This window comes from Homo sapiens, chromosome 3 (genome assembly GCF_000001405.40).
Source record: "Homo sapiens chromosome 3, GRCh38.p14 Primary Assembly".
NCBI lineage: Eukaryota > Metazoa > Chordata > Mammalia > Primates > Hominidae > Homo > Homo sapiens.
In genome coordinates, this window is record NC_000003.12 from 196430093 (window position 1) to 196455054 (window position 24962).

General features: G+C 46.6%; 1 protein-coding gene and 1 long non-coding RNA gene across 3 annotated transcripts in view, besides 8 other annotated features; one reads left to right on the plus strand and one right to left on the minus strand.

Moving 5' to 3' along the window:
* Positions 1-2335, minus strand: part of UBXN7 (UBX domain protein 7) — an 84766-nt gene extending 82431 nt beyond the window's left edge. For both annotated transcript variants that reach the window (XM_011512671.3, NM_015562.2), the window contains exon 1: positions 2235-2335. Coding sequence is in view for 1 of the 2 variants with exons in the window: in NM_015562.2 (NP_056377.1) it covers positions 2235-2307 (73 nt within the window). In the remaining variant the exon portion in view is untranslated. The remainder of the gene's footprint in view (positions 1-2234) is intronic.
* Positions 1092-1866: an enhancer, noted in NCBI's record as "NANOG-H3K27ac-H3K4me1 hESC enhancer chr3:196158055-196158829 (GRCh37/hg19 assembly coordinates)". NCBI's record gives its function as "activates a minimal SCP1, AML or CMV promoter by ChIP-STARR-seq in primed H9 embryonic stem cells {active_cell/tissue: H9 hESC(primed)}" and the evidence as "EXISTENCE:reporter gene assay evidence [ECO:0000049][PMID:30033119]".
* UBXN7-AS1 (UBXN7 antisense RNA 1) lies at positions 1293-2942 on the plus strand. The gene is made up of 2 exons (NR_046745.1): positions 1293-1349; positions 2110-2942. It is a non-coding gene; the product is annotated as a UBXN7 antisense RNA 1 (long non-coding RNA).
* Positions 1443-1492: an enhancer, noted in NCBI's record as "active region_21088". NCBI's record gives its function as "activates an Ori minimal core promoter by ATAC-STARR-seq in GM12878 lymphoblastoid cells {active_cell/tissue: GM12878}" and the evidence as "EXISTENCE:reporter gene assay evidence [ECO:0000049][PMID:35858748]".
* Positions 1867-2640: an enhancer, noted in NCBI's record as "NANOG-H3K27ac-H3K4me1 hESC enhancer chr3:196158830-196159603 (GRCh37/hg19 assembly coordinates)". NCBI's record gives its function as "activates a minimal SCP1, AML or CMV promoter by ChIP-STARR-seq in primed H9 embryonic stem cells {active_cell/tissue: H9 hESC(primed)}" and the evidence as "EXISTENCE:reporter gene assay evidence [ECO:0000049][PMID:30033119]".
* Positions 1867-2652: a biological region, named in NCBI's record as "NANOG-H3K27ac-H3K4me1 hESC enhancer GRCh37_chr3:196158830-196159603".
* Positions 2203-2262: a silencer, noted in NCBI's record as "silent region_15061". NCBI's record gives its function as "represses an Ori minimal core promoter by ATAC-STARR-seq in GM12878 lymphoblastoid cells {active_cell/tissue: GM12878}" and the evidence as "EXISTENCE:reporter gene assay evidence [ECO:0000049][PMID:35858748]".
* Positions 2283-2532: a silencer, noted in NCBI's record as "silent region_15062". NCBI's record gives its function as "represses an Ori minimal core promoter by ATAC-STARR-seq in GM12878 lymphoblastoid cells {active_cell/tissue: GM12878}" and the evidence as "EXISTENCE:reporter gene assay evidence [ECO:0000049][PMID:35858748]".
* Positions 2573-2652: an enhancer, noted in NCBI's record as "active region_21089". NCBI's record gives its function as "activates an Ori minimal core promoter by ATAC-STARR-seq in GM12878 lymphoblastoid cells {active_cell/tissue: GM12878}" and the evidence as "EXISTENCE:reporter gene assay evidence [ECO:0000049][PMID:35858748]".
* Positions 10199-10278: a silencer, noted in NCBI's record as "silent region_15063". NCBI's record gives its function as "represses an Ori minimal core promoter by ATAC-STARR-seq in GM12878 lymphoblastoid cells {active_cell/tissue: GM12878}" and the evidence as "EXISTENCE:reporter gene assay evidence [ECO:0000049][PMID:35858748]".

Genomic DNA, 24962 nt, shown 5'->3' on the forward strand with positions numbered 1-24962 from the left:
GCCTGTAATCCTAGCACTTTGGGAGGCTGAGGTGAGTGGATCATTTGAGGACAGGAGTTCAAGACCAGCCAGGCCAACATGATGAAACCCCGCCTCTACTAAAAATACAAAAATTAGCCGGGCCTGGTGACAGGCGCTTGTAGTCCCAGCTACTCGGGAGGCTGAGACAGGAGAATCGCTTGAACCCGGGAGGTGGAGGTTGCAGTGAGCCAAGATCGTGCCTGGGAGATCTGCACTCCAACCTGGGCAACACAGCGAGACTGTCTCAAAATAATAATAATAATAATAATAATAAGTGGCTTTTTTTTTCTTTTTGAGAAATGATCTTGCTCTGTTGCCAGGGATGGAGCGCAGTGGTATGATCTACTCACCGCAGCCTTGAACTCCTAGGCTCAAGCAATCCTCCCACCTCAGCCTCCCCAGTAGCTGGGACTACATGTCGGTGCCACTACATCCAGCTCATTTTCTTATTTCTGTAGAGATGGGGCCTCACTATGTTTTGCCCAGGCTGGTCTGCAACTCCTCGCCCCATGTGAATCTCCAGCCTCCGTCTCCCAAACTGCTAGGATTACAGGCGTGAGACACCGCGCCAGGCCCAAGTGGCATCATAAACCATCTCTAGGAAATCTAAAGGATTAATAATGATATTCACTTCTCTATCAGATTCACTGCAAAGATTTTTCTATATAAGCATAATGCAGCAACACTAACTTATATACACAATAATCTTCTCCATAGCAATGATTTGTCAGACATTAGGAAATCCTTTACATATTTAATATAATAATCCAATCCTTTATATCTTCAATAATCCAATCACAAAGTTCAAAAATATTAAGAGAAGTTATCATGCAACTCCTCACCCCAATTTTATTGCAAATTTTACTTTACTTTGACCTGATGTTCCATGCCCACAAGCTAGATAACAATGCGTCAAATATCTCGTTATCATTGCAAAGCAAAAAAATAAAACTTGCTTTAATATAAAACGGTAACTAGTATACAACCTGTAGTAGTTAAAACAATATAAAATTTTACTTAACCAGATATTGCACGTTAAACTCTAGGAACATTAACAGTGGAAACATTCTCCGCATCTAACAAATTACGAGATAAAGTATAGATCCGTTGAGAGGGAACTAACATTCTGACCTCCTTCCAAAACGACAAACTAGAACGGCAAAATTACACTCAGGCACATTGGAGTACTCTTCTCTCAAATCACTCCACAGAGAACTTCATCATTTGCTCCGCCCTCTAATAACTCATGCAAGAAAAGTTCAGCACCATCAGAGAGAAACAAGACAGAGAGAATTCATAGAATGGCTTTAGGGCCTTTCCTCCAGGCGGTAAGAGGATCTGCGTGTGTCCTTCGCAGGGGTCCAAAGGGAGAGAACCTAGGCCTAGGGTTTCGGGGATACCGACACCCAGAAACAGATTTTCTCTCAAAGAAGTTTCTGCCGCCATCCCTATCTTATCAGCAGGAGGCCCCGGCGCCATCGTCTCCGTCTTTATGATTTTATTATGGGGAGGTGGGAAACGCCACCCTGGATTCTTCCAGGCCTCCCCTATTCAGCTTGGGGGTTCCCCCTCATTCTTCCCTCAAAGCCTCAGTCCCTGAGGTCCTCCTCAGCACCCCCCGCTTCTGGCGGCCTGTCCCCCGTGAAGTGTAAAGGCACGGCCGAACCCACCGGCCTTGCCGTGAAGGCGGGAGGGCCCGAACCCGCCAGGGCCACGGCGATGGCTCCGAGGGGCCCAGAAAGGGGAAGGGCAGGCCGGGGACCGGGGCAGAATGACCTGGCCGGGGAAGAAAGGAAAAAAGGAGGTGAGGAGATGCACCGCACCGCAGGGCTGCACAGAGAAGGGAAGATGATGAAGGAGGAGGAGGAGGGCGGTGGCCCGGGTGCGGCCCCCTACTCCTCCCGCCCCCGGGTCCCCGGGCCGGCGGGGGCGGACGGACTCGGCCCATTCCCAGGTCTGGGCTGGCGGGGGGTTGGGGGATCTCCCTCCACGCTACTAGGAGACAGAGAACGAGGGTATCGGGAGCGGGGGGGGGCTGTCTCCCGCCTGAACCCGGAGACCCCGACGCCGTCGTCGCCTCTTCCTCAGGAGGGAGGACGGCAGCTGTGGGTAAAGCCCGAAGGAGGAATGCCTGAAGGTAAGGGGAAGCCCGGGGCAGACCCGCTGCCCGCTCCGGACCCCACTCTCCACCTTCCGGTAACCGCGTCTCTTACCGGTAATGGTGGTGAACTGTTGAATTAACCCCTTCAGCGCCGAGGACGCCGCGGAGCCCCCGTGGGCAGCCATCTTACCGCCGCCGCCGCCGCCGAACAACAACACAGACACACACGGACTGCCCTCCCCCACTTCGCCGTGCGGTGTGCGCAGGCGCATTGACCGCCCCTCGAGCCCCGCCCCTCCCGTCCCCAGCGGTCTGCGCAGGCGCATTTTCCGACCGGGCCCGCGCGCTCCCAGCTCTCGGGTTGGCTGCTCGGTTGCTGCCTGCTCAGTGCATCCTTTTTGCCATTGCTGGTGCCTTCCTCTCCGGGCTCCAAGGCTAGCCTCGCAGGCGCGGTGTCGATTCCTAGATTCCGAAGGAAGCTTCGGTCTCGGCAGATAGTTCTTCGCATTTCAGCTTCGCAAGCTTTATTGACAGAGCCAACTGCCGATGACAGCATTTTTCTGTTTTGCGGTTGTACCGCACTCTATTAGGTTTCCTGCAGGTCCCATCAAAATGCAAACCCTACCTCCTCGCTTTGAAGCGACTCTCCCCGTACTCGCCCCCCAGCCTCTAAACTAATGGCTTAGCTAACCGATTGCGACGAGTGAAATACCAGAACCCTTCATGCCAAAGAAAGCACTTAGCGCGGGGTTGCCACCCAGTAGGTTTTCATAAACGATTGTTTAGTCTGCTTTCCTTAAATAAATTGGCCATCACGTCTCCCGTTAGGGTCTTAATGAGACCCCAAGAGGCGTCATTTGTATAAAAAGAAACTCTGTATATGCAGTAGAGGAAAGAAAACATATAGAAAGGAGACTGGAAAAGTGTGCTCAAAACGCTGGTAACGGTTACCTCCAGAGAAGAGAACGATCGGGACGATGGTCAAAGCGGACCTTACTTCGAGTTTCTTATTTATCTTTTTATTTTTAAACAAACATTATTGGCCGGGCGCGGTGGCTCATGACTGTAATCCCAGCACTTTGGAAGGCCGAGGTGGGAGAATCGCTTGAGGCAAGGAGTTCGAGACCAGACTGGGAAATATATCAAGAATCCATCTCAAAAAAAAAAAAAAAAAAAAGATATTCGTGTGTTCCTTGAATAATTTTAAGTATTTTGCAAAACAGTTACATGAGTGGGGTGCGCTCAAATCCAATAATCCCCCACCTTGCCCATAAAGTTAAAAGAGATTCCAAGTGATTCCGTTTGTTTTAGCCTCCCACCTTCCAACCTCCACCCACATATTTTGCATCTTCATAGGAAAATGGCCCAATAAAAGATGGGATGAGCTGTCTGAAGAATTGACACATCCTAAGAGTAAACATGCTATTGGGGAGAATTAAGAAAGAGCCATGTCAAATCAAGGGGTATAGTTTTTTGTTTTGTTTTGTTTGACAGGGAGTCTCGCTCTGTCGCCCAGGCTGGAGTGCAGTGGTGCAATCTCAGTTTACTGAAAGCTCCGCCTCCCGGGTTCAAGCGATTCTCCTGCCTCAGCCTCCCAAGTAGCTGGGATTACAGGCACACGCCACCACGCCTGGCTAATTTTTGTATTTTTAATAGAGACGAGGTTTCACCATGTTGAGCAGGCTAGTCTCAAACTACTGACCTCAAGTGATCCACCCGCCTCGGCCTCCCAAAGTGTTGGGATTACAGGCGTGAGCCACCACACCCAGTCGGGCTGTAGTTTCAAGAAGATATGATTGATGTAAAAGAAAGCAGACTCCAGTAATCCCAGCACTTTGGGAGGCCGAGGCGGGCGGATCGCCCGAGGTCAGGAGTTCCAGACCAGCCTGGTCAACATGGCGAAACCCCATCTCTACTAAAAATACAAAAATTAGCTGCTGTGGTGGCGCGGGCACCTGTAATCCCAGCTACTTGGGAGGCTGAGGCAGGAGAATCACTTGAACCCGGGAGGCAGAGGTTGCAGTGAGCCGAGATCATGCCACTGTGCTCCAGCCTGGGTGACAGAGCAAGACTCCGTCTCAAAAAAAAAAATGTATTTTAAGTTAAATGACAGATTGGTCCTGGCACTGCCTTCCAGGTTGCTGCAGTTCTCTAGATGGGCTGAGGAAGGGCAGGGATCAGTCATAAATTTCGGCAGCTGATTCCTTCACATTTGATGCAGAGGTGCAAAAACAGGCAAGGGAAGAAAGCCAAATCAAGAAAGTGTTACCTCTGTCTCCCTTCATCCTAAAGGCTGAGTCACTAGCCAGCCATGCAAAATCAAGCTCCACGTAAAATGGTATAACACCATTAACTACAAAAACTAAACACAGTGATTACTGTACCTCCATCAGATGGAGAGGCCAGTAATGAGCTCTGCAGGTTTATCAGGTTTATTTCCAAAATCTTATAATTCAGATTTAATGATATGATTTTGATTAACAGTGCAGGAAAAGGTGATAAAGTCTGTGGCATCCACAACTCCAGAAGGCATTTTTTTAGAAATTAAAAAATAAGATAAAAGAAAATTAGACAGGTGGCCAAAAAGATTCCATGGTCGGGGGGAGGGGGGGAAAGAAGGGAAGAAAATGAGACAGTTTCCATGGATAACCAGGGAACTGGGAAAAATAAATAAAGAAGTAATGAATAATACAACCTTGAAAAGCTTTTTTGGATTATTAAAGAATATGAAGGACTGACCAGTTGCGGTGGCTCACACCTGTAATCCCAGCACTTTGGGAGGCCGAGGCTGGGGATCACCTGAGGTCAGGAGCTCCAAACCCGCCTGACCAACATGGTGAAACACCATCTTTACTAAAAATACAAAATTAGCTGGGCGTGATGGTGCGTGCCTGTAATCCCAGCTACTCGTGTGGCTGAAGCAGGAGAATCGCTTGAGCCCGGGAGGTGAAGTTTGCAGTGAGCCAAGAATGAGCTACTGCACTCCAGCCTGGGCAACAGAGTGAGACTCCGTCTCAAAAAAAAAAAAAAAAAAAAAAAAAAAGAATATGAATATGAAGGATGGGTGTCGTGGCTCATGCCTGTAATCCCAGCACTTTGGGAGGCCAAGACAGGAGGATCACTTGAGCCCAGGAGCTTGAGACCAGCCTAGGCAACATAGGGAGACCCTATCTCTGAAAAAAGAAAAAAAAAGTTTAATTAGCCAGGTGCGGTGGTGCAAGCTTGTAGTCCCACCTACTCTGGAGGCTGAGGCGGGAGGATCACTTGGGCCCAGGTGGTCGAGGCTGCAGTGAGCCATGATGACACCACTGCACTCCAGCCTGGGTAAGATATGTGGAAATCACAAGGAACAGTGGAGGATCTCATACTAGTAACAGTAGAACTGTCACAACCCATACGTCCAAAGAGATGAGAACAGAGAGAAGTTAGAGAAATCCCAAGTGAGATTTTTTTGCAGAGCAAACCACCATGCAAGAAGCAATGACCTTCTGTCAAGGGACATAAATAAGCAGCTTGAGGCAATCTCAGAGAGGAGCTCAGGGACATAGATACCCTGACCTCGATCTCCTCTTCTGTCTCCTGCCAGGAATCCCCAATGGCTGAACCCAAATGGAAGACAGAGGGCACAGCAAGAAGCCCCTTGTAGTTCCCACAGGCAGCCCCGGGGCAGAGAGCAGGATGGAAAAGAGGAAATTGATGGACACAAATGTAAAATGGAATGGTCATGGAAATACATTCCAAAACTTGAGGAGCTTTTTGGTTTGTTTGGGTCTTTTTTGTTTCATCTTGTTTTGTTTTTTGAGACAGGGTCTCTCTCTGTCGCCCAGGCTGGAGTGCAGTGGCAGGATCTTGGCTCACTGCAGCCTCTGCCTCCTGGGTTCAAGCGATTCTCCTGCCTCAGCCTCCCAAGTAGCTGGGATTACAGGAGCAGGCCACCATGCCCAGCTAATTTTTGTATTTTTAGTAGAGACAAGGTTTCACCATGTTGGTCAGGCTGGTCTTGAACTCCTGACATCAAGTGATCCACCTGTCTCAGCCTCCCAAAGTGCTGGGATTACAGGGTGAGCCACAGAGCCTGGCCCGAAACTGATGGAGTTTTAACAGAAGCTAAAGGAGAATATATAAGCTTAACTGGTTATATTAGAGAAGAAGACTGGAAAATAAGTAGCTCAGCATTTCATCAAGAAGTTAATAAAGGAACAACAACTCAGCAGACAAGGAAAAATGTGAAGAAAAAATGCTAAAGAGCAGAAATTGACAAAATAGAATACAAAATACAGAAGAGAGGATTCATAAAACCAAAAGCTGGTTCTCTGAAATAACAATATGTAAAACCTTTGACAGGCCAGGTGTGGTGGCTCACACCTGTAGGCCCAGCACTTTGGGAGGCCGAGGTGGGTGGATCACCTGAGGTCAGGAGTTCCAGACCAGCCTGGCCAACATGGTGAAACCCCGTCTCTACTAAAAATACAAAAATTAGCTGGACGTGGTGGCGGGCGCCTGTAATCCCAGCTACTTGGGAGGCTGAGACAGTAGAATCACTTGAACCCAGGAGACAGAGGTTGCAGTGAGCCGAGATTGTGCCATTGCACTCCCGCCTGGGTGACAGAGTGAGACTCCATCTCAAAAAATAAAAAAATAAATAATAATAAAACCTTTGACAGATTAAGAACAAAGAGAAAGACACAAACAATATTATGAAAAAAAGACATAGCAGACATAGCCGTGGCTTGAAAAATAAGAGAATATTATGAATAATTTTATGCTGATGAATTAGGAAATAGATAAATGACAGTTTCCTAGAAGAAATAATTAACAAAATGGAACTCAACTATGCATAGACTTATGACCATTAACAAAATGAAATCTGCCACACAAATGACCACACCCCAGTGATTTTACAGGAGATTGCTACCAAAAAAGTTAAGAAACAGATTATCCCAAACTTATACAAATGCTTCCAGATAAAGAACAATGGGAACAAACAGCTCATTCTATAAGGGTAGCATAACCTTGAAATCAAATCAAACAAAATAATAAATGAGAATTCATCCTCACTCATGGCTACTGAAACAGATATCTTAAATTAAATCAGAATTTAGAAATCCACATATTCACACATACATGTACATATTTTTTTTATTGGGTTTACTTCAGGAATGCAAGCATAATTTTACAGTAAAAAGCTCTTACAAATGGCACAGTTGCTCGCCCCTGTAATCCCAGCTACCTAGGAGGCTGAGGTAGGAGGACCACTGGAGCCCAATTGTCTAGGAGTTTGAAGCTGAATGAGCTATAATTGCACCCTGCACACTCCAGCCTGGACACCAGAAACTCCAGAAAAAAAAAAAAAAAACACCTCTGTCAATGTAATTCACCATAGTAAAACAAATTAAATAAGAGAAATTATTTGATTCATTTGATCAGACACAGGAAAACCATTGATATAAATGCACATCCATTCACAAAATGTTTTAAAAACCTTAACAAACTACATAAAGAAACTTCCTTAATCTAATAAAATGTATCTACCAAAAATGCAGAGTAAACAGCATCCTAGTTAATAATTAGACATTTAAAGTCAGTAACAATAATGCGTTCTATTATTACGTCTACTCAATATTATTCTAGAGGTTCTAACCATGGCAGTGAGACAAGAATAGGCAGTAAATTAAAAACCTATATTCAGGGGCCAGGCGCCTTGGTTCACGCCTATAATCCCAACACTTTGGGAGGCCTAAGTGGAAGCATCGCCTGGAGCCAGGTGTTTGAGAGCAGCCCAGACAACATAGTGAGACCTCATTGCTACAAAAAAGAAATTGTTTTTTAATTATTCAGGCATGGTGGCACATGCCTGTGGTCCCAGCTACCTGGGAGGCTAAGATGGGAGGATCACTTGAGTCCAGGAGGTTGAGCCATGACTGCACCACTGCACTCCAGCCTGGGAGATGGAGTGGGACCCTATCTCAAAAAAAAAAAAAAAAAAAAAAAAATCTATATTCATGTATGGAAAGACTCAATATTATAAAGATGCCAGTTTTCCATATATTAGTCAGCAAATTCAATGTAATTTCTTTTTTTTTTCCTTGAGATGGAATCTCGCTCTGTCGCCCAGGCTGGAGTGCAGTGGTGTGATCTCGGCTCACTGCAAGCTCCGCCTCCCGAGTTCAGGCCATTCTCCTGCCTCAGCCTCCCGAGTAGCTGGGACTACAGGCGCCCCTCACAATGCCCGGCTAATTTTTTGTATTTTTAGTAGAGACGGGGTTTCACCGTGTTGGCCAGGATGGTCTCGATCTCCTGACCTGGTGATCCGCCCGCCTCGGCCTCCCAAAGTGCTGGGATCACAGGCGTGACCCACTGCACCCGGCCAATTCAATGTAATTTCAATCAAAATCTCACAGAGTTTCTAAGCATTTGTGTAAGGTTATTTTTAAATTCACGAGTAAAGAGTCAACAATAATCAAAACACTTTTGAAGTAAAAGGACTTGTGGAAGTCTTGCCCTACCTTGTATTAAGAATTTTTAGGCCGGGCGCGGTGGCTCACGCCTGTGATCCCAGCACTTTGGGAGGCCGAGGCGGGTGGATCACGAGGTCAGGAGATCGAGACCATCCTGGCTAACACGGTGAAACCCCGTCTCTACTAAAAACACAAAAAATTAGCCGGGCGCGTTGGCGGCCGCCTGTAGTCCCAGCTACTCGGGAGGCTGAGGCAGGAGAATCACTTGAACCCAGGAGGCGGAGCTTGCAATGAGCCGAGATCGCGCCAGTGTACTCCAGCCTGGGCGACAGCGCAAGACAAGGAAAAAAAAAAAAGAATTTTTATAGGCCGGGCACAGTGGCTCACACCTGTAATCCCAGCACTTTGGGAGGCCAAGGCAGGCGGACTTCTTGAGGTCAGGAACTCAAGACCAGCCTAGCCAACATGGTGAAACCCTGTCTCTACTAAAAATACAAAAATTAGCTTGGGTGGGGGGGGGCGGGCGGTTGGCACGTGCCTGTAATGCCAGCTCCTTGGGAGGCTGAGGCAGGAGAATCGCTTGAGCCCGGGGGACAGAAGTTGTAATGAGCCGAGACTGAGCCACTGTACTCTAGCCTGGGTGACAGGAACAAGACTCTGTCTCAAAAAAAAAATTATTATAAAGGTGTAGTAACTAAGACTACTCACACTGTGTGGTATTGATAGGGAGTGAACAAATCCAGTACAGAATAGAGAGTCCACAAACAGACACGAATATATACAGACAGTGCGGCAGAAGTGGCATGACTAACCAATGGAGGAAGGGATGCACTGTGACCCAGGGTTCCAATCCCAAATCGGATACAAAAATACATTATATATTTCTGAAAGATTTAAATGAGAATAACAAAACTTGACAACTTTCTTTTTTTTGGTGGGGGGGTTGAGGGGACGGAATTTGGCTCTCGTCGCCCAGGCTGGAGTGCAGCGGCGCAGTCTCAGCTCACCACAACCTCCGCCTCCTGGGTTCAAGTGATTCTCCCGCCTCAGCTTCCTGAGTAGCTGGGATTACAGACACGCGCCACTATGCCTGGCTAATTTTGTATTTTTAGCAGAGACAGGTTTCTCCATGTTGGCCAGACTGGTCTTGAACTCCCAACCTCAGGTGATCCCCGCCCACCTCGGCCTCCCAAAGTGCCGGGATTACAGGCATGAGCCACTGCACCTGGCTGAAACTTGACAACTTTCACAAGAAAATATAGGGGCTTATTCTAGTGATTTCTAATAGAACTGCTTTGCACAACTTAAAGGGGATGCCGTCCACTCTGCATCCCAGGAAATGCCATCCACACAACACAACATAACTGGACAGCCTTGAAGTTGTGGATCATGAAAGTCCAGCTTGAGGAAGGGGAAGATTTTATAAAGAAGACACGAAATCAGAAACCATAAGGGCAATGACTAATAAAGTTGACTTCATTAAAATTAGAAACATCTGTTGGCCAGGCACAGTGGTTCACTCCTGTTATCACAGCACTTTGGAAGGCTGAGGCAGGCGGGTCCCTTGAGGCCTAGAGTTTGAGAGCAGCCTGGCCAACATGGTGAAACCCCGTCTCTACCAAAAATGCAAAAACTAGCTGGGCATGGTAGCACATACCTGTAGTCCCAGCTACTCAGGAGGCTGAGGCATGAGAATCACTAGAACCTGGGAGGCAGAGGTTGCAGTGAACTGAGATCTCGCCGCTGCACTCCAGCCTGGGCAACGGAGTGAGACTGTCTCAAAAAAAAATTAAAAAAAGAAACATCTGTAATGTAAGAAGTGAAACTGGGATTTGAACCCAGACAAAATGAATTGACAGAAAGTTTGGGGAGGTGATGTGCATAGCAATTAGTATTTTAAAAAAAAGTTCAAAGAATAAAAATATTTCAGTTATTTTTCAGCACTTCTCAGGTGGGCCAATATCGCTACCACCAAAAAGACATATTATATTGTGGGACAGGCATTAAGTTGTTTAGGGTATTGGATGTTATGTCGGGAAAACGAAATTTAGCTAGCTTAAATAGCAAGGTGAGCTAGGGTAGGGCCTGTGTTGGGTACCACAGGGCTCCAGCTCTGCCTCTGATTCTCTTGACTTTCCCAGGACTGTCTGAGCTTTGTTCTAGGCTGGTAGCAAGACAGCTGCAGTAGTCTGAAGCATCACATTCAGGTACAGTGACATGCAAAGGAAGAAGCATCAGCTCATCTCTTCTGTGAGAAAGGACACATTTCCTAGAAGTCTCCTGGGAGAGACATTCCTTCAAAATTCGTCTGAATTGAGTCTGAATTGAGTCACAATTCTGTTCCTAAACCAGTCTCTGCCAAGGGATGTGAGATAAACATAACTGGTGTAGTAAAGCATATGGCTTTGTGGAGGAAGGTGGATACCTCCCCAAAGTTTGGTGCTTTTAAGGAGAAAGAAGGAGGGGAATGAATGTTAATTAGGCAATTAACAAAATCTGCTCCATTCATGAAGCTTCACTATGAGCACCGTGAAACATTCCCACACTTCCCTTCGTTCTGATTCCACCTTTACCTAGAATCTTTCTGATTGACACTTAACTTTTCCAGATTTCTTGATACTAGGAAAGTACTGAATGAGTCTGTCAGTCACTGAAAACATCTATCTCTCACTATTAAATTTAAAAATTGATATTTTGGTTTAGGGTTAGGGTTTTCTGTTCCTACGATTTTTGCTATTTCTAGAATGTTATGTAAATGGAGTCAAACAGAATGCAGTAGCCTTTCGAGTCTGGCTTCTTACACTTAGCATAATGCATTTAAAGTTCCTCATGGCGGTGTCTGCGTCTGTATCTTTTTCCTTTTCATTGCTGAGTATCAGTCCATCATAAGGATGCATCCCAGTCTGTCTATCCATTCCCCAGTTGAAGGGCATTTGGGTTATCTCGTTAGGGGCAATTATGAATAAAGCTACTATAAACTCATGTACAAGTTTCTGTATGAACATAAGTTTTCATTTCTCTTCTAAAAACACCTACACGAGGAATTGCTGGCTCATATAGTGAGTGTATTTTTTTTTTTTTTTTTTTTTTTGAGATGGAGTCTCACTCTGTCGCCCAGGCTGGAGTGCTGTGGTGCAATTTCGACTCACACAACCTCCGCTTCCCGGGTTCAAGCGATTCTCCTGCCTCAGCCTCCCGAGTAGCTGGGATTGGAGTCACCCACCACCATGCCTGGCTAATTTTTGTATTTTTAGTAGAGATGGGGTTTCACCATGTTGGCCAGGCTGGTCTTGAAGTCCTAACCTCAGGTGATCTGCCCGCTTCAGCCTCCCAAAGTGCTGGGATTACAGGCGTGAACCATCCTATCAGGCTGTGAGTGTATGTTTGACATTATAAGAAGCTGAAAAACTGTCCTGTGATTCCTTATTTTTTATTTAATTTTTATTTTTTTTTAGACGGAGTCTCGCTGTGTCGCCCAGGCTTGAGTGCAATGGCACAATCTCGGCTCACTGCAACCTCCGTCTCCCGGGTTCAAGCATGTTCTCCTGCCTCAGCCTCCCAAGTAGCTGAGATTACAGGCATGCGCCACCACTCCCGGCTAATTTTTGTATTTTTAGTACAGATGGGGTTTCTCCATGTTAATCAGGCTGGTCTTGAACTCCTGAGCTCAGGTGATCCACCCACCTCGGCCTCCCAAAGTGCTGGGATTACAGGCGTGAGCCACCATGCCTGGCCTGGCCTGTGATTCTTAAATGTCAATTTGGGGAAGATATCTGGCAACCATCACTTTAACCAAGTGATCCAACTTAACATTAATGAGTGGGACAACCTGATAATTTTGATGTGATGCGTTAGGAAATGTTCAGTATCACCTATGACATATTCTTGGCAAAACTGTACCAATCAAGCCTCTAGGCCTAATTTCCAGACTACAAAAAGTATAGGAAGATCAAGATACAAGTTAAAGGAGGCCATGAGGAAGCACTCAGGCAAATCTAGACTATGGGCATTCATAAGATAACTGTCCTGGTCTCTTCAAAAAGTGAACGTCAGCCGGGCTCGGTGGCTTACGCCTGTCCATCCAGCACTTTGGGAGGCCGAGGCAAGCGGATCACCTGAGGTCAGGAGTTCGAGACCAGCCTGACCAACACGGCGAAACACCATCACTACCAAAAATACAAAAATTAGCCTGGCATGGAGGGAGGCGCCTGTAATCCCAGCCACTGGGGAGGCTGAGGCAGGAGAATCACCTGAACCCAGGAGGCAGAGGCTGCAGTGAGCCAAGATCGTGCCACTGCACTCCAGCCTGGGCCACAGACCAAGACTCAGTCTCAAAAAAAAAAAAAATTAATTTAATTTAATTTAAAAGGCCAGGCACGGTGGCTCACACCTGTAATCCCAGCACCTTGGGAGGCCAAGGTGGGAGGATCACTGGAGGTCAGGAGTTGGAGACCAGCCTGGCCAAGAGAGGGAAACAGGGGAACTGTTATGAATGAAAAGAGAGTAAAGACATTACAGGAAGATGCAAAGCTTTGATTGAATCCTGGTCATTAAAAGCAATCTTCCTGCCTCGGCCTCCCAAAGTGCTGGAATTATGGGCATGAGCCACAGCTCAACTGAATTTCTCCCAAGGGCCAGGTGCCGTGGCTCATACTTGTAATAGCGCTTTGGGAGGCTGAGGTGGAAGGATCACTTAAACCCAGGAGTTTGAGAGCAGCAACATAACAAGACTCTATCTCTACAAAATTAATTAATTAATTAATTAAAAATTAGCTGGGCATGGTGGCACAGGCAGCTTGCTCGGAGGGCTTAGATGGGAGGACTCTAACCACCCAGCAGGTTCACCTTGCCCACTGCCTAGATAGAGCTGATTTACCAAGACAGGAAAATTTAAACAAAGAAACAGCGATTCACAGCCGGCTGCATGGGAGACCAGAGTGTTGTGTTTTATTGTGTTTTGTTTTGTTTTGTTTGAGACGGAGTCTCACTCTGTTGCCCAGGCTGGAGTGCAGGGACACAATCTCGGCTCACTGCAACCTCTGCCTCCAGAGTTCAAGCGATTATCCTGCCTCGGCTGCCCTCGTAACTGGGATAACAGTCGAGCGCCACCACGCCCAGCTAATTTTTTATATTTTTGGTAGAGACGGGGTTTCACCATATTAGCCAGGATGGTCTCGATCTCCTGACCTCAAGATCCGCCCACCTCGGCCTCCCAAAGTGCTGGGATTACAGGCGTGAGCCACCACGCCCGGCCTGGGACGGGAGATTTATTACTACTCAAATCAGTTTCCCCTAGCACTTAGAGATTTTTAGGATAATTTGGTTGGGGGTTGGGGGTTGGGGGGCAGTGAGTCAGGAGTGCTGATTGATTGGTTCGGAGATGAAGATGTAAGAAGTGGGAGCTGTCTTCTTGTGCTGAGTCAGTTCCTGGGTCGGGGCCAGAAGATCAGATGAGCCAGTTTATCCATCTGGGTGGTGCCAGCTGATCCATCAAGTGCAGAGTCTGCAAAGTATCCCAAGCGCTGATCTTAGGTTTTACAATAGTGATGTTATCTCCAGGAGAAATTCAGAGAGGGTCAGAATCTTACAGCCTCCTCGGAGGTTGCAGTGAACCAAGATCAAACTACTGCACTCCAGCCTGGGTGACACAGCAAGACTCCGTCTCAGGAAACAAAAGAAAAAGAAAATGAAAAAAAACCCACAATCTTACAGCTTCCAGCTTCATGGCTCGTAAACTGTAATTTCTATCTTTTGGCTAATTTGTTAGTCCTACAGAAGCAGTCTACTCCCCATGCAAGAAGAGGGTTTGTTTTGGGAAAGGGCTGCTATTGTTTTGGTTTCAAACTATAAACTAAGTTTCTCCCAAAGTTAGTTTGGCCCAGGAATGAACAAGGACAGCTTGGAAAAGTTTTGACAAAGGAAGGAAGGAAAAAAGGGAGGGAGAGAGGGAGGGAGGGAAGGAGGAAGGAAGGAAAGAAGGGAGCGAGGGAAGGAAGGAAGGAAGGAAGGAAGGAAGGAAGGAAGGAAGGAAGGAAGGAAGATGGAGTCGGTTAGGTCAGATCTCTTTTACTGTCTCAGTTATAGTCTTGCAATGGTAGTTTCATGATCACTTGAGCCCAGAAGGTCCAGCCTGCAGTGAGCTGTGATTGAGCCACTACACTCAGCCTGGGCTATACAGAGTGAGACCCTGTGTCACTAGCAATGATAATGATAATAATAACTTTTAAAAGTTTAAAAAGAAATAAATTTAATTTACCCTTAAACTTGAAAGCAAGGATGATAACAGTCCCTCCCTAAAACTAATCCCCTCCTTGCTCAAGGACCAAAAACTGCCTTTGTGGAACCAATAAAAGGCCACAAGATTAGGATTGTGGGAGGGGCCTGAACTCTGCTAAAATGTAAGCGTAGTTTATTTTTCTTTTCTTTCTTCTTTTTTGAGACTGAGTTTTGCTCTTGTTGCCCAGGCTGGAATGCAGTGGTGCAATCTCAACTTACCGCAACCTCCGCCTCCCGGGTTCAAGCAATTCTCCTGCCTCGGCCTCCGAAGCAGATGGGATTACAGACGCCTGCCACCATGCCCAGCTAATTTTTGTATTTTTAGTAGAGACAGAGTTTCACCGTATTGGCCAGGCTGGTCTCAAACTCCTGAACTCAGGTAATCTACCTGCCTCCACCTCCCAAAGTGCTAGGATTACAGGCGTGAGCCACCACGCCCAGCCTGTAAGTGTAGTTTCTATAATCCCTTTCTACTCAGGAATCATGTGGCCAGAAGCCACAAAACAGGTGTAGTTTCTCCATCCCCAGTTGCTTCTATAGATATTGTCACTATTGCAGAACCTACGATTACTTTTTTGAGATTTTTCTTTGGACTGACCACCTGGGCTTGGGACTCATGACTGTGGCCCCACCTAGAGGTGAACTCAGCACACATGGACTGTTTTCCACACCCCTCTCTCTTTTTTTTTTTTTTTTTTTGAGATGGAGTTTCGTTCTTGTCACCCAGGCTGGAGTGCAATGGCATGATCTCGGCTTATTGCAACCTCCGCCTCCCGGGTTCAAGCGATTCTCCTGCCTCAGCCTCCCAAGCAGCTGGGATTACAGGCATGTGCCACCACGCTCGGCTAATTTTGTATTTTTAGTAGCGACGGGTTTCACCATGTTGGCCAGGCTGGTCTCGAACTCCTGACCTCAGGTGATCCGCCCGCCTTGGCCTCCCGAAGTGCTGGGATTACAGGCGTGAGCCACCATGCCCTGCCACACCCCTATAATTTTATATCCAACCAATCAGCAGCACTCATTTTCTAGCCCCTTGCCCACCAAATTGTCCGCAAAAACCCTAACCTTCAAGCCTTGGGAGAGACTAATTTGAGTAGTAACTCCGTCTCAAATGTGGTTGGCGTCACATTAATTAAACTCTTTTTTTATGGCAATACCATGGTCTCAGTGAACTGGTTTTGTCTGTGCAGTGGGCAGGAAGAATCCATCAGGCAATCAAAATTTCTACTTTTTTTTTTTTTTTTTTTTTTTGAGACAGAGTCTCGCTCCGTCACCCAGACTGGAGTGCAATGGTGAGATCTCGGCTCACTGCAACCTCCGCCTCCCGGGGTCAAGCAAGTCTCTTGCCTCAGCCTCCTGAGTAGCTGAGATTACAGGCATGCACCACCACGCCTGGCTAATTTTTGTATTTTTAGTAGAGATGGGCTTCACCATGTTGGTCAGGCTGGTCTCAAACTCCTGACCTCAGGTGATCTGCCCTCCTCGGCCTCCCAAAGTGCTGGGATTACAGGCTGAGCCACCGCACCCAGCCCACATAATTTTGTAAAAAAAAATAATAATAATAAGCAGCTCAGAGTAAAAAAGAAAATGCCTAAGTACACACACAAAATCCAAGTACCATGTATTAGAAGCAGTATGAACAACAGATAGAGTGAACAGACTTGCAAATAGTTCAATACTGGAATTTCAGACATTGATTTATATAATAAGTATGTGGCCAGGTGAGGTGGCTCATGCCTGTAATCCCAGCACTTTGGGAGGCTGAGGCGGGAAAATCACCTGACGTCAGAAAATTGAGACCAGCCTGGCCAACATGGTGAAACCCTCGCTCTACTAAAAACACAAAAATTAGCCAGGTGTGGTGGTGCATACCTGTAATTCCAGCTACTTGGGAGGCTGAGGCAGGAGAATTGCTTGAACCCAGGAGGCAGAGGTTGCAGTGAGCCGAGATCATGCCACTGCACTCCAGCCTGGGCGACAGAGTGAGACTCCATTTCAAAAAAAATAAAATAAAATAAAATAATAAAATAAAATATGTTTATCATGGGTGAAGAAATTGTAATCCCAGCCTGAACAATATAGCAAAACCCTGTCTGTACAAACAAATAAAATAAAATCAGCTGGGTGTGGTAGCATACGTCTGTAGTCCCATCTACTTGACGGGCAGCTGGGTGTGGTAGTGTATGTCTGTAGTCCCAACTACTTGACAGGCTGAGATGGGAGGATTGCTTGAGGCCAAGAACTTGAGGCTGCAGTGAACTATGACCGCATCACCGCACTCCAGCCTGGGTGGCAGTGAGACCCTAGGAAAAGAAAAAAAAAAAGCACCACTGCGTTCCAGTCTGGGTGACAGAGCGAGATGCGAGACTCAAAAAAAAAAGTGTAAGAATTTGTTGAGGTCTAAGATGGGACATTTCTCCAGAGGGAATTTACATTTGCTCCTGCCTGGCATTGATGGGCACTACCACACCAGTAGCAACTAACTCAACTCATCATTTGAAGCTTTCTGAACCACACACGCAATATGAATTTGGGCTGCAAATCAACATGTAAGAACTGCCCAGGGGCTACAGCTTCTCAGGACAGCCCCCTCTCCTCACCCCCCATCACCAAGGTAACCTTGCTTGCAGCCTCACAATGCAAGGAGTAGAAGGGCTGTTTACTTCTGGTTCTCGTTACCAGAGAGGTCCTAGTGTTTTGTGGAGCATTTCCTATTAGATCTCTTTTGGCAGATAAACTGTGTGCCCCCTTCCTCCCAACAGATTCCTGTGTTGAAGCTCTCACTCCCCAGTACCTCAGAATGGTACTGTATCCCTTTAAGGAGGGGATTAAGTTAAAATGAAGCCTTAGGGTGGGCCATGATCCAATCTGACTGTGTCCTTATATGAAGGGAAATGGGCCGGGCACGGTGGTTCACGCCTGTAATCCCAGCACCTTGGAAGGCCAAGGTGGGCAGATCACCTGAGGTCAGGAGATTAAGACCATCCTGACCAACATGGTGAAAACCTGTCTCTACTAAAAATACAAAAATTAGCTGGGCGTGGTAGTGGGTGCCTGGTAATCCCAGCTACTTGGGAGCCTGAGGCAGGAGAATCGCTTGAACCCAGGAGGCGGAGGTTGCAGTGAGCTGAGATCACACCATTGCACTCCAGCCTGGTCAACAAGAGGGAAACTCCATCTCAAAAAAAAAAAAAAAGAAGAGGAAATTAGGACACACAGAGAGACACCAGGGGCAAGGGAGCACGCACAGAGGAGAGACCACAGGAACATACAGCAAGAAGGCATCTCTCTGCAAGCCAAGCACGGGGTCCTTCGGATGAAGCCAGACCTGCCAGTCTTGATCTTGGACTTCCAGCCTCTAGGACTGTGGGAAAATACATTTCTGTTATTTGAGCCCCCAGTCTATGGTATTTTATTATGGCAGCCCTAGCAAACTAATGCAATTCCCCACCTTTGGTGGCCTTGGCCTTTGACTTTTTTATTTCACAGCCCCTTGGGGTTTCACTCTTGTCGCCCAGGCTGGAGTGCAATGCTGTGCATTCTTGGCTCACTGCAACCTCCGCCTGTCAAGTTCAAGCAATTCTCCTGCCTCAGCCTCCAGAGTAGCTGGGATTACAGGCACCCACCACCACGCCCGGCTAAATTTTTTGTATTTTTAGTAGAGACGGGGTTTCACCATGTTGGCCAGGTTGATCTCGAACTCCTGACCTCAGGTGATCCGCCCGCCTCGGCCTCCCAAAGTGCTGGGATTACAGGCATGAGCCACTGTGCCCAGCCACCACTTCCTTTTCTTTTCTTTCTTTCTTTCTTTTTTTTTTTTTTTTTTTTGAGATGGAGTCTTGCTCAGTTGCCCAGGCTGGAGTGCAATGGCATGATCTCAGCTTACTGCAACCTCCACCTCCCGAGTTCAAGCAATTCTTCCACCTCAGCCTCCCTAGTAGCTGGGATTACAGACGTGAGCCACCATGCCCGGCTAATTTTTGTAGAGACAGGGTTTCACCATGTTGGCCAGGCTGGTCTCAAACTCCTGACCTCAGGTGATCCGCCCGCCTTGGCCTCCCAAAGTGCTGGGATTCCAGGTGTGAGCCACCGCGCCCGGACTTCCTTTTCTTTTCTGAGATTTGATTTGTCCCACTCATTCCTTACTATCTTGCCACCTCTGTGATGACGTTAAGAGGTATATTTGTTTGTTTTAAAACAATATCCAGCTTTTCAGTTATTCTCATTGTCTATCCAAATACCTTCCCCCACAGATCAGCTAAAAGGTAGAGAAGTCAAGAAATGACAGCAGAGGGACCGAGGAGCTGATGAGGAAAAAGTGAAGGGCAACTTCAAGGTTTTCAGCCTGGGAGGAGGTTTAAAAAATGGTTTCAAAAAAATAAAAATAAAAATAAATAAAAGAAACAAAACAAAACAAAAAAATGAAAAAAAGTTGGTTTCTAGCAAGAAAAGAAAGAAAAGCAAAGGTCAGAAAGAAAAGCAAATTTTCAGAGAACAACCGACTTTGGTTTGTATCTGTACTGGACACGTATAAGTTTTTGTTTTGTTTTGTTTTTGGTCATTGTTCACTAAACAATACAATATAACAACTATTGCATAGCATTTATGTGTTTTTTGTTTTGTTTTGTTTTGTTTTTTTGAGACGGAGTCTCATTCTGTCGCCCAGGCTGAAGTGCAGTGGTGTGATCATGGCTCCCTGCAACCTCCACCTGGGTTCAAGCAACTCTCCTGCCTCAGCCTCCTGAGTAGCTGGGACTAAAGGCATGCGCCACCACACTCAGTTAATTTTTGTATTTTTAGTAGAGATGGGGTTTCACCATGTTGGCCAGGCTGGTCTCGAACTCCTGACCTCAGATGATCTGCCCATCTCGGCCTCCCAAAGTGCTGGGATTACAGGCGTGAGCCACTGCGCCTGGTCTAATTTTTGTATTTTTTGTAGAGACAAAGTTTTGCCAGGTTGCCCAGGCTGGTCTTGAATTTCTAACCTCAAGTGATCCACCTATCTCAGCCTCCGAAAGTGCTGGGATTATGGGTGTGAGCCACCACACCTGGCCATTTATGTTGTTATTAGGTATCCTAAGTAACCTAGACATGATTTAAAGTATACAGGAAGATGTATGTAGGTTATATGCAAATACTACACATTTTATATCAGGAGTTTGAGCATCCTCAGATTTTGGTGTGTGTGTGTGTGTGTGTCTTGTAAGATGGATTCTCACTGTCTCCCAGGATTGAATATCCTCAGATTTTGTGTGTGTGTGTGTGTGTGTGTGTGTGTGTGTGTGTGTGTGTGTGTGTGTGTTTTGTAAGACAGTCTCACTCTGTCTCCCAGGCTGGAATGCCGTGGCGCAATCTCTGCTCACTGCAACCTCTGCCTCCCGGGTTCAAGCGATTCTCTTGCCTCAGCCTCCTAAGTAGCTGGGATCATAGGTGACTGCCACCAAGCCTGGCTACTTTTTTTTTTTTTCAGATGGAGTCTTGCCCTGTTTCCCAGGCTGGAGTGCGGTGCCACGATCTCAGCTCACTGCGACCTCCACCTCCCAGGTTCAAGCGATTCTTCTGCCTCAGCCTCCCGAGTAGCTGGGATTATAGGCACGTGCCACCACGCCCAGCTAATTTTTGTATTTTTAGTAGAGATGGAGTTTCACCATGTTGGCCAGGCTGGTCTCAAACTCCTGACCTTAGGTAATCTGCCTACCTCGGCCTCCCAAAGTGCTGGGATTACAGACGTGAGCCACCGCATCCAGCCCCAGCTAATTTTTTTTTTGGATTTTTAGTAGAGATGGGTTTTCACCATGTTGGTCAGGCTGGTCTCGAACTCCTGACGTCAAGTGATCCGCTCACCTCAGTTTCCCAAAGTGCTGGGATTACAAGCGTGAGCCACCATGCCTGGCTAATCCTCAAATTTTGATATCCAAGGGACTTCCTGGAACCAATTCCCCATGGACACGCAGGGAAAATTGTAATAGTAAGACATCAAAAGGTAAGAAAGGAATAACATTTTCAGTCAAATGAGAATTGCTATATTGTAAGTGTGTATCTTCATACACAAACTCATGTAACAGGAAATATAATTTTATTTTTCTATAACTCAGTTTAACAATTTAACAATTTAACTTTTATTATTCCCATCAGCACCATAGGAAAAGTAACAATGAAAAAAAACTGTTACTATTCCCAGACCAGGGAATCCTTATGTAGTCTAAGGATGTGGTAGCCTGTTTACTTGTCATCAATTCTACCAAATCTATCGGCCATAGCCTTTTTTTTTTTTTTTTTGAGACAAGGGTCTCTGTCACCTGGACTGGAGTGCGGTAGCATGATCATAGCTCACTGCAGCCTCAAGCTCCTGGCCTCAAGAGATTCTCCCACCTCAGCCTCCCAAAGCACCGGGATACACATGAGACATGACACCTGGCTATAGTCAAGTTTTGTTTGACCCATCTGCAGGTTTTAAAATTCAAAAGCTGGCCAGGCATGGTGGCTCAAACCAGTAATCCCTGCACCTGGGAGGCTGAGGTGAGTGGATTACCTGAACTCAGGAGTCTGAGACCAGCCTGGCCAACATGGCAAAACCCCGTTTCTACTAAAAACACAAAAATTAGCCCAGTATGGTGGTGTGCACCTGTTGTCCCAGCTACTCCGGGGGCTGAGGCAGGAGGATCACTTGAGCCTTGGGAGGCTGAGGTTGCAGTGAGCCATGATCTCCAGCCTCAGTAACAGAGGGAGACCCTGTCTCCAAAAAAAAAAAAAAAAAAAAAAAAAAAAAAAAAAAGCAAAGGCTGTGGCTGCAGGTCACACCTCTAATCTCATCACTCCGGGAGGCCAAGGCAGGAGGATGCCTTGAGGCCAAGAGTTCAAGACTAGCCTGGACAACATAAGAGACCTTCTCTCTCCAAAAAGTTTAAAAAATGACCAGGTGGGGTGGTACACTCACGTAGTCCTAGCTACTCAGGAGGCTGAGGTGGAAGGATCACTTGAGCCCAGGAGTTGGAGGTTACAGCAAACTATGATCACGCCACCATACTCCAGCCTAGACAAGAGAGCAAGACTTTGTCTCTCTTTTTTTAATAAAAAACATTTTCATTTATTTATTTCAGAAGAGAACTAGAGTGAAGACCTTGTCTCTTAAAAAAAAATCAAAAGCTGACAATTGATTCCTTTCTTCCTCCTTCCCCTAACCTGCTACCATGTCAATGGCATTAGTTAGGAGTGGTTTTGGCTGCAAATAACAGAACATTTGAATACCAGAGGCTTTAGTGATTGAAGATTGTTTCTCTGTTTTTGTTTTGTTTTGTTTTGTTTTTTGTTTTTGAGATGGAGCCTCACTCTGTCGCCAGGCTGGAGTGCAGTGGCGCAGTCTTGGCTCACTGTAACCTCTGCCTCCTCCCAGGTTCAAGCGATTCTCCTGTCTCAGCCTCCCAAGTAGCTGGGACTACAGGCGCCCGCCACCACACCCCGCTAATTTTTTTGTATTTTTAGTAGAGATGGGGTTTCACCGTGTTAGCCAGGATGGTCTCGATCTCCTGACCTCGTGATCTGCCTGCCTTGGCCTCTCAAAGTGCTGGGATTACAGGCGTGAGCCACCACGCCCGGTCCCAGGAACTCCCTCTTACAAAGCAGTTCAGGGCTATGGTGGTTTAAAAATACTATCGACCAGGCACGGTGGCTCACGCCTGGGAGGCTGAGGTGAGAGGATTACTTGGGGCCAAGAGTTCAAGACCAGCCTGGGCACATATAGTGAGACCTCATCTCTACTGAAAAAAAAACAGCTGGGCATGGTGGCAAGCCCTGTAGTCCCAGCTCCTGGGGAGGCGGAGGAGGGAGTGTTGCAGGGTCCCTGCAGTGTTGGTTTTCTGGCCAGAAAACTCTGTGGCTGGTGGCACCTTTGCCCGAGTTTTACTCAGGCCCTCTGGGGTCATTTTGCCCACTCAGCCTGGCAGGCTGTGCTCAGCTCATGCTACCAGCCTGGATCTCATGCTTGCCAAGGGCGAGGCAGGTGTGGAGCAGCGAGGGGTGTGTAAGCAAGAGAACTGGGGTCTGGCATATCTTCTATTTCTGTGTCTTGCCCTGTCGGGCTTTTCCTATCACTACTGTCAACGTCCTGTAGAAAACAGAAAAAGACTGAGTGAACCAGGGGAAAATATCAAATCGTAAGATGTAAGTCTAATTACACTGATACTACAGCCGAACTGTCACTATACATTATTATTACTAATAAGGTATATTTCTTTCTTTCTTTTCTTTTTTTTTCCAGAGTCTTGCTCTGTCGCCCAGGCTGGAGTGCAGTGGCGCGGTCTCAGCTCACTGCAACCTTCACCTCCCAGGTTCAAGTGATTCTCCTGCCTCAGCCTCCCAAGTAGATGTATATTTATTCTTAACAGTATTTTTATTTCATGGGCAAATTTAGATTAAGCTATTACTTCATTTTCATTCCCTTTTAATGATTGTGTTACAATATAAATTGTTCCTTTTGTAAAGCTACTATATATCTTAATTTTTTAGTTAAAAACATTATCCTCAGGAAATGTTGGGGCGAGGAGAACTCGGAGTTTGTCTAAGGCTGTCACCTTGCTATGTTGTTTTGGAGCTTGCAGGGGTCTGGGGCTCAAGGTCTCATTCTCTAGGAGCTCACACTGCAGCTGAACTTGTAATGCTGCTTTTTTTTTTTTTTTTTTTTTTGAGACAGAGTCTTGTTCTGTCGCCTAGGCTGGACTGCAGTGGTGCGATCTCGGCTCACTGCAACCTCCACCTCCCGGATTCAAGAGATTCTCTTGCCTCAGCCTCCCAAGTAGCTGGGATTACAGCCGCGCACCACCATGCCCAGCTAATTTTTGTATTTTTTAGTAGAGATGGGGTTTCACCATGTTGGCCAGGCTGGTCTTGACCTCCTGACCTGGTGATCCGCCTGCTTCGGCCTCCCAGAGTGCTGGGATTACAGGCGTGAGCCACTGCGCCTGGCCAATGCTTCTTTTTTTTGAGATGGAGTCTCACTCTGTCACCCAGGCTGGAGTGCAGTGGTGCAATCTTGGCTCACTGCAACCTCTGCCTCCCGGGTTTCAGTGATCCTTTTGCCTCAGCTTGCTGAGTAGCTGGGATTACAGGTGCCTGCTACCACGCCCGGCTAGTTTTTGTATTTTTAGTCGAGACAGAGTTTCACCATATTGGTCAGACTGGTCTTGAACTCCTGACCTTAGCTGATCCACCCACCTTGGCCTCCCACAGTGCTGGGATTACAGGTGTGAGCCACCGCGCCCAGCCAACATCAGGTATACTTACAAATCTATTTTCTTGTGTTGAGTTCGTTCTGTTTCTCTCTGAAAGGTAGATTTTTGAAATGCAAAAGCATGAAACTAACTTCTTTTTCTCCCAGGTGAACCCTTTCCTGAAGGAAGAAATGGAGAACGGCCCAGATGACTAAATCAGAGAAGGACCACATAATCCAAGGATAGGGTAAAATATTGGTTAATATTTTAAAAACTTATCCTATCACATATATGCGATGTCACTGAATCTTTTCAACAATTTTATGAGAAATAAATTCTATTTTACAATTTAGGAGAGAGGTTAGGGCTACACAGCTAGAAGCAGAATTTGGCCAGGCACAGTGGCTCACGCCTGTAATCCCAGATACTCGGGAGGCTGAGGCAGGAGAATTGCTCGAACCTGGGAGGTGGAGGTTGCAGTGAGCTGAGATTGTGCCATTGCACTCCAGCCTGGGTGACACAGCGAGACTGCATCTCAAAAAACAAAGAAAACAAAACAAAAAATAGAAGCAGAATTTGAATCCATGTCTATCTGATTCTAGGATCCTGTCCTTGCCATCTCATTGTACAATACCTACAGGCATTTTAAAAGTGTAACTTGAATGTTCCAGTTCTTATCAGCCTAGGGGTGCAAATAAGGTCACATCAGCACTTACCCACAATTTTGCTGGCAGGTCACCCCTCATTTGCTCACACAGAACCTCAGCTTCCTTCAAAATGCCTCCCCAAAAGATTCTTGTAGCTATCCAAGAACGAGTTTCCTTTATTAAGTACTGCCGCGCTCTCATCTCCTTGGCAAGGAGAACTGACACGAACATGATATTCTTGCTGCTTGCTGTG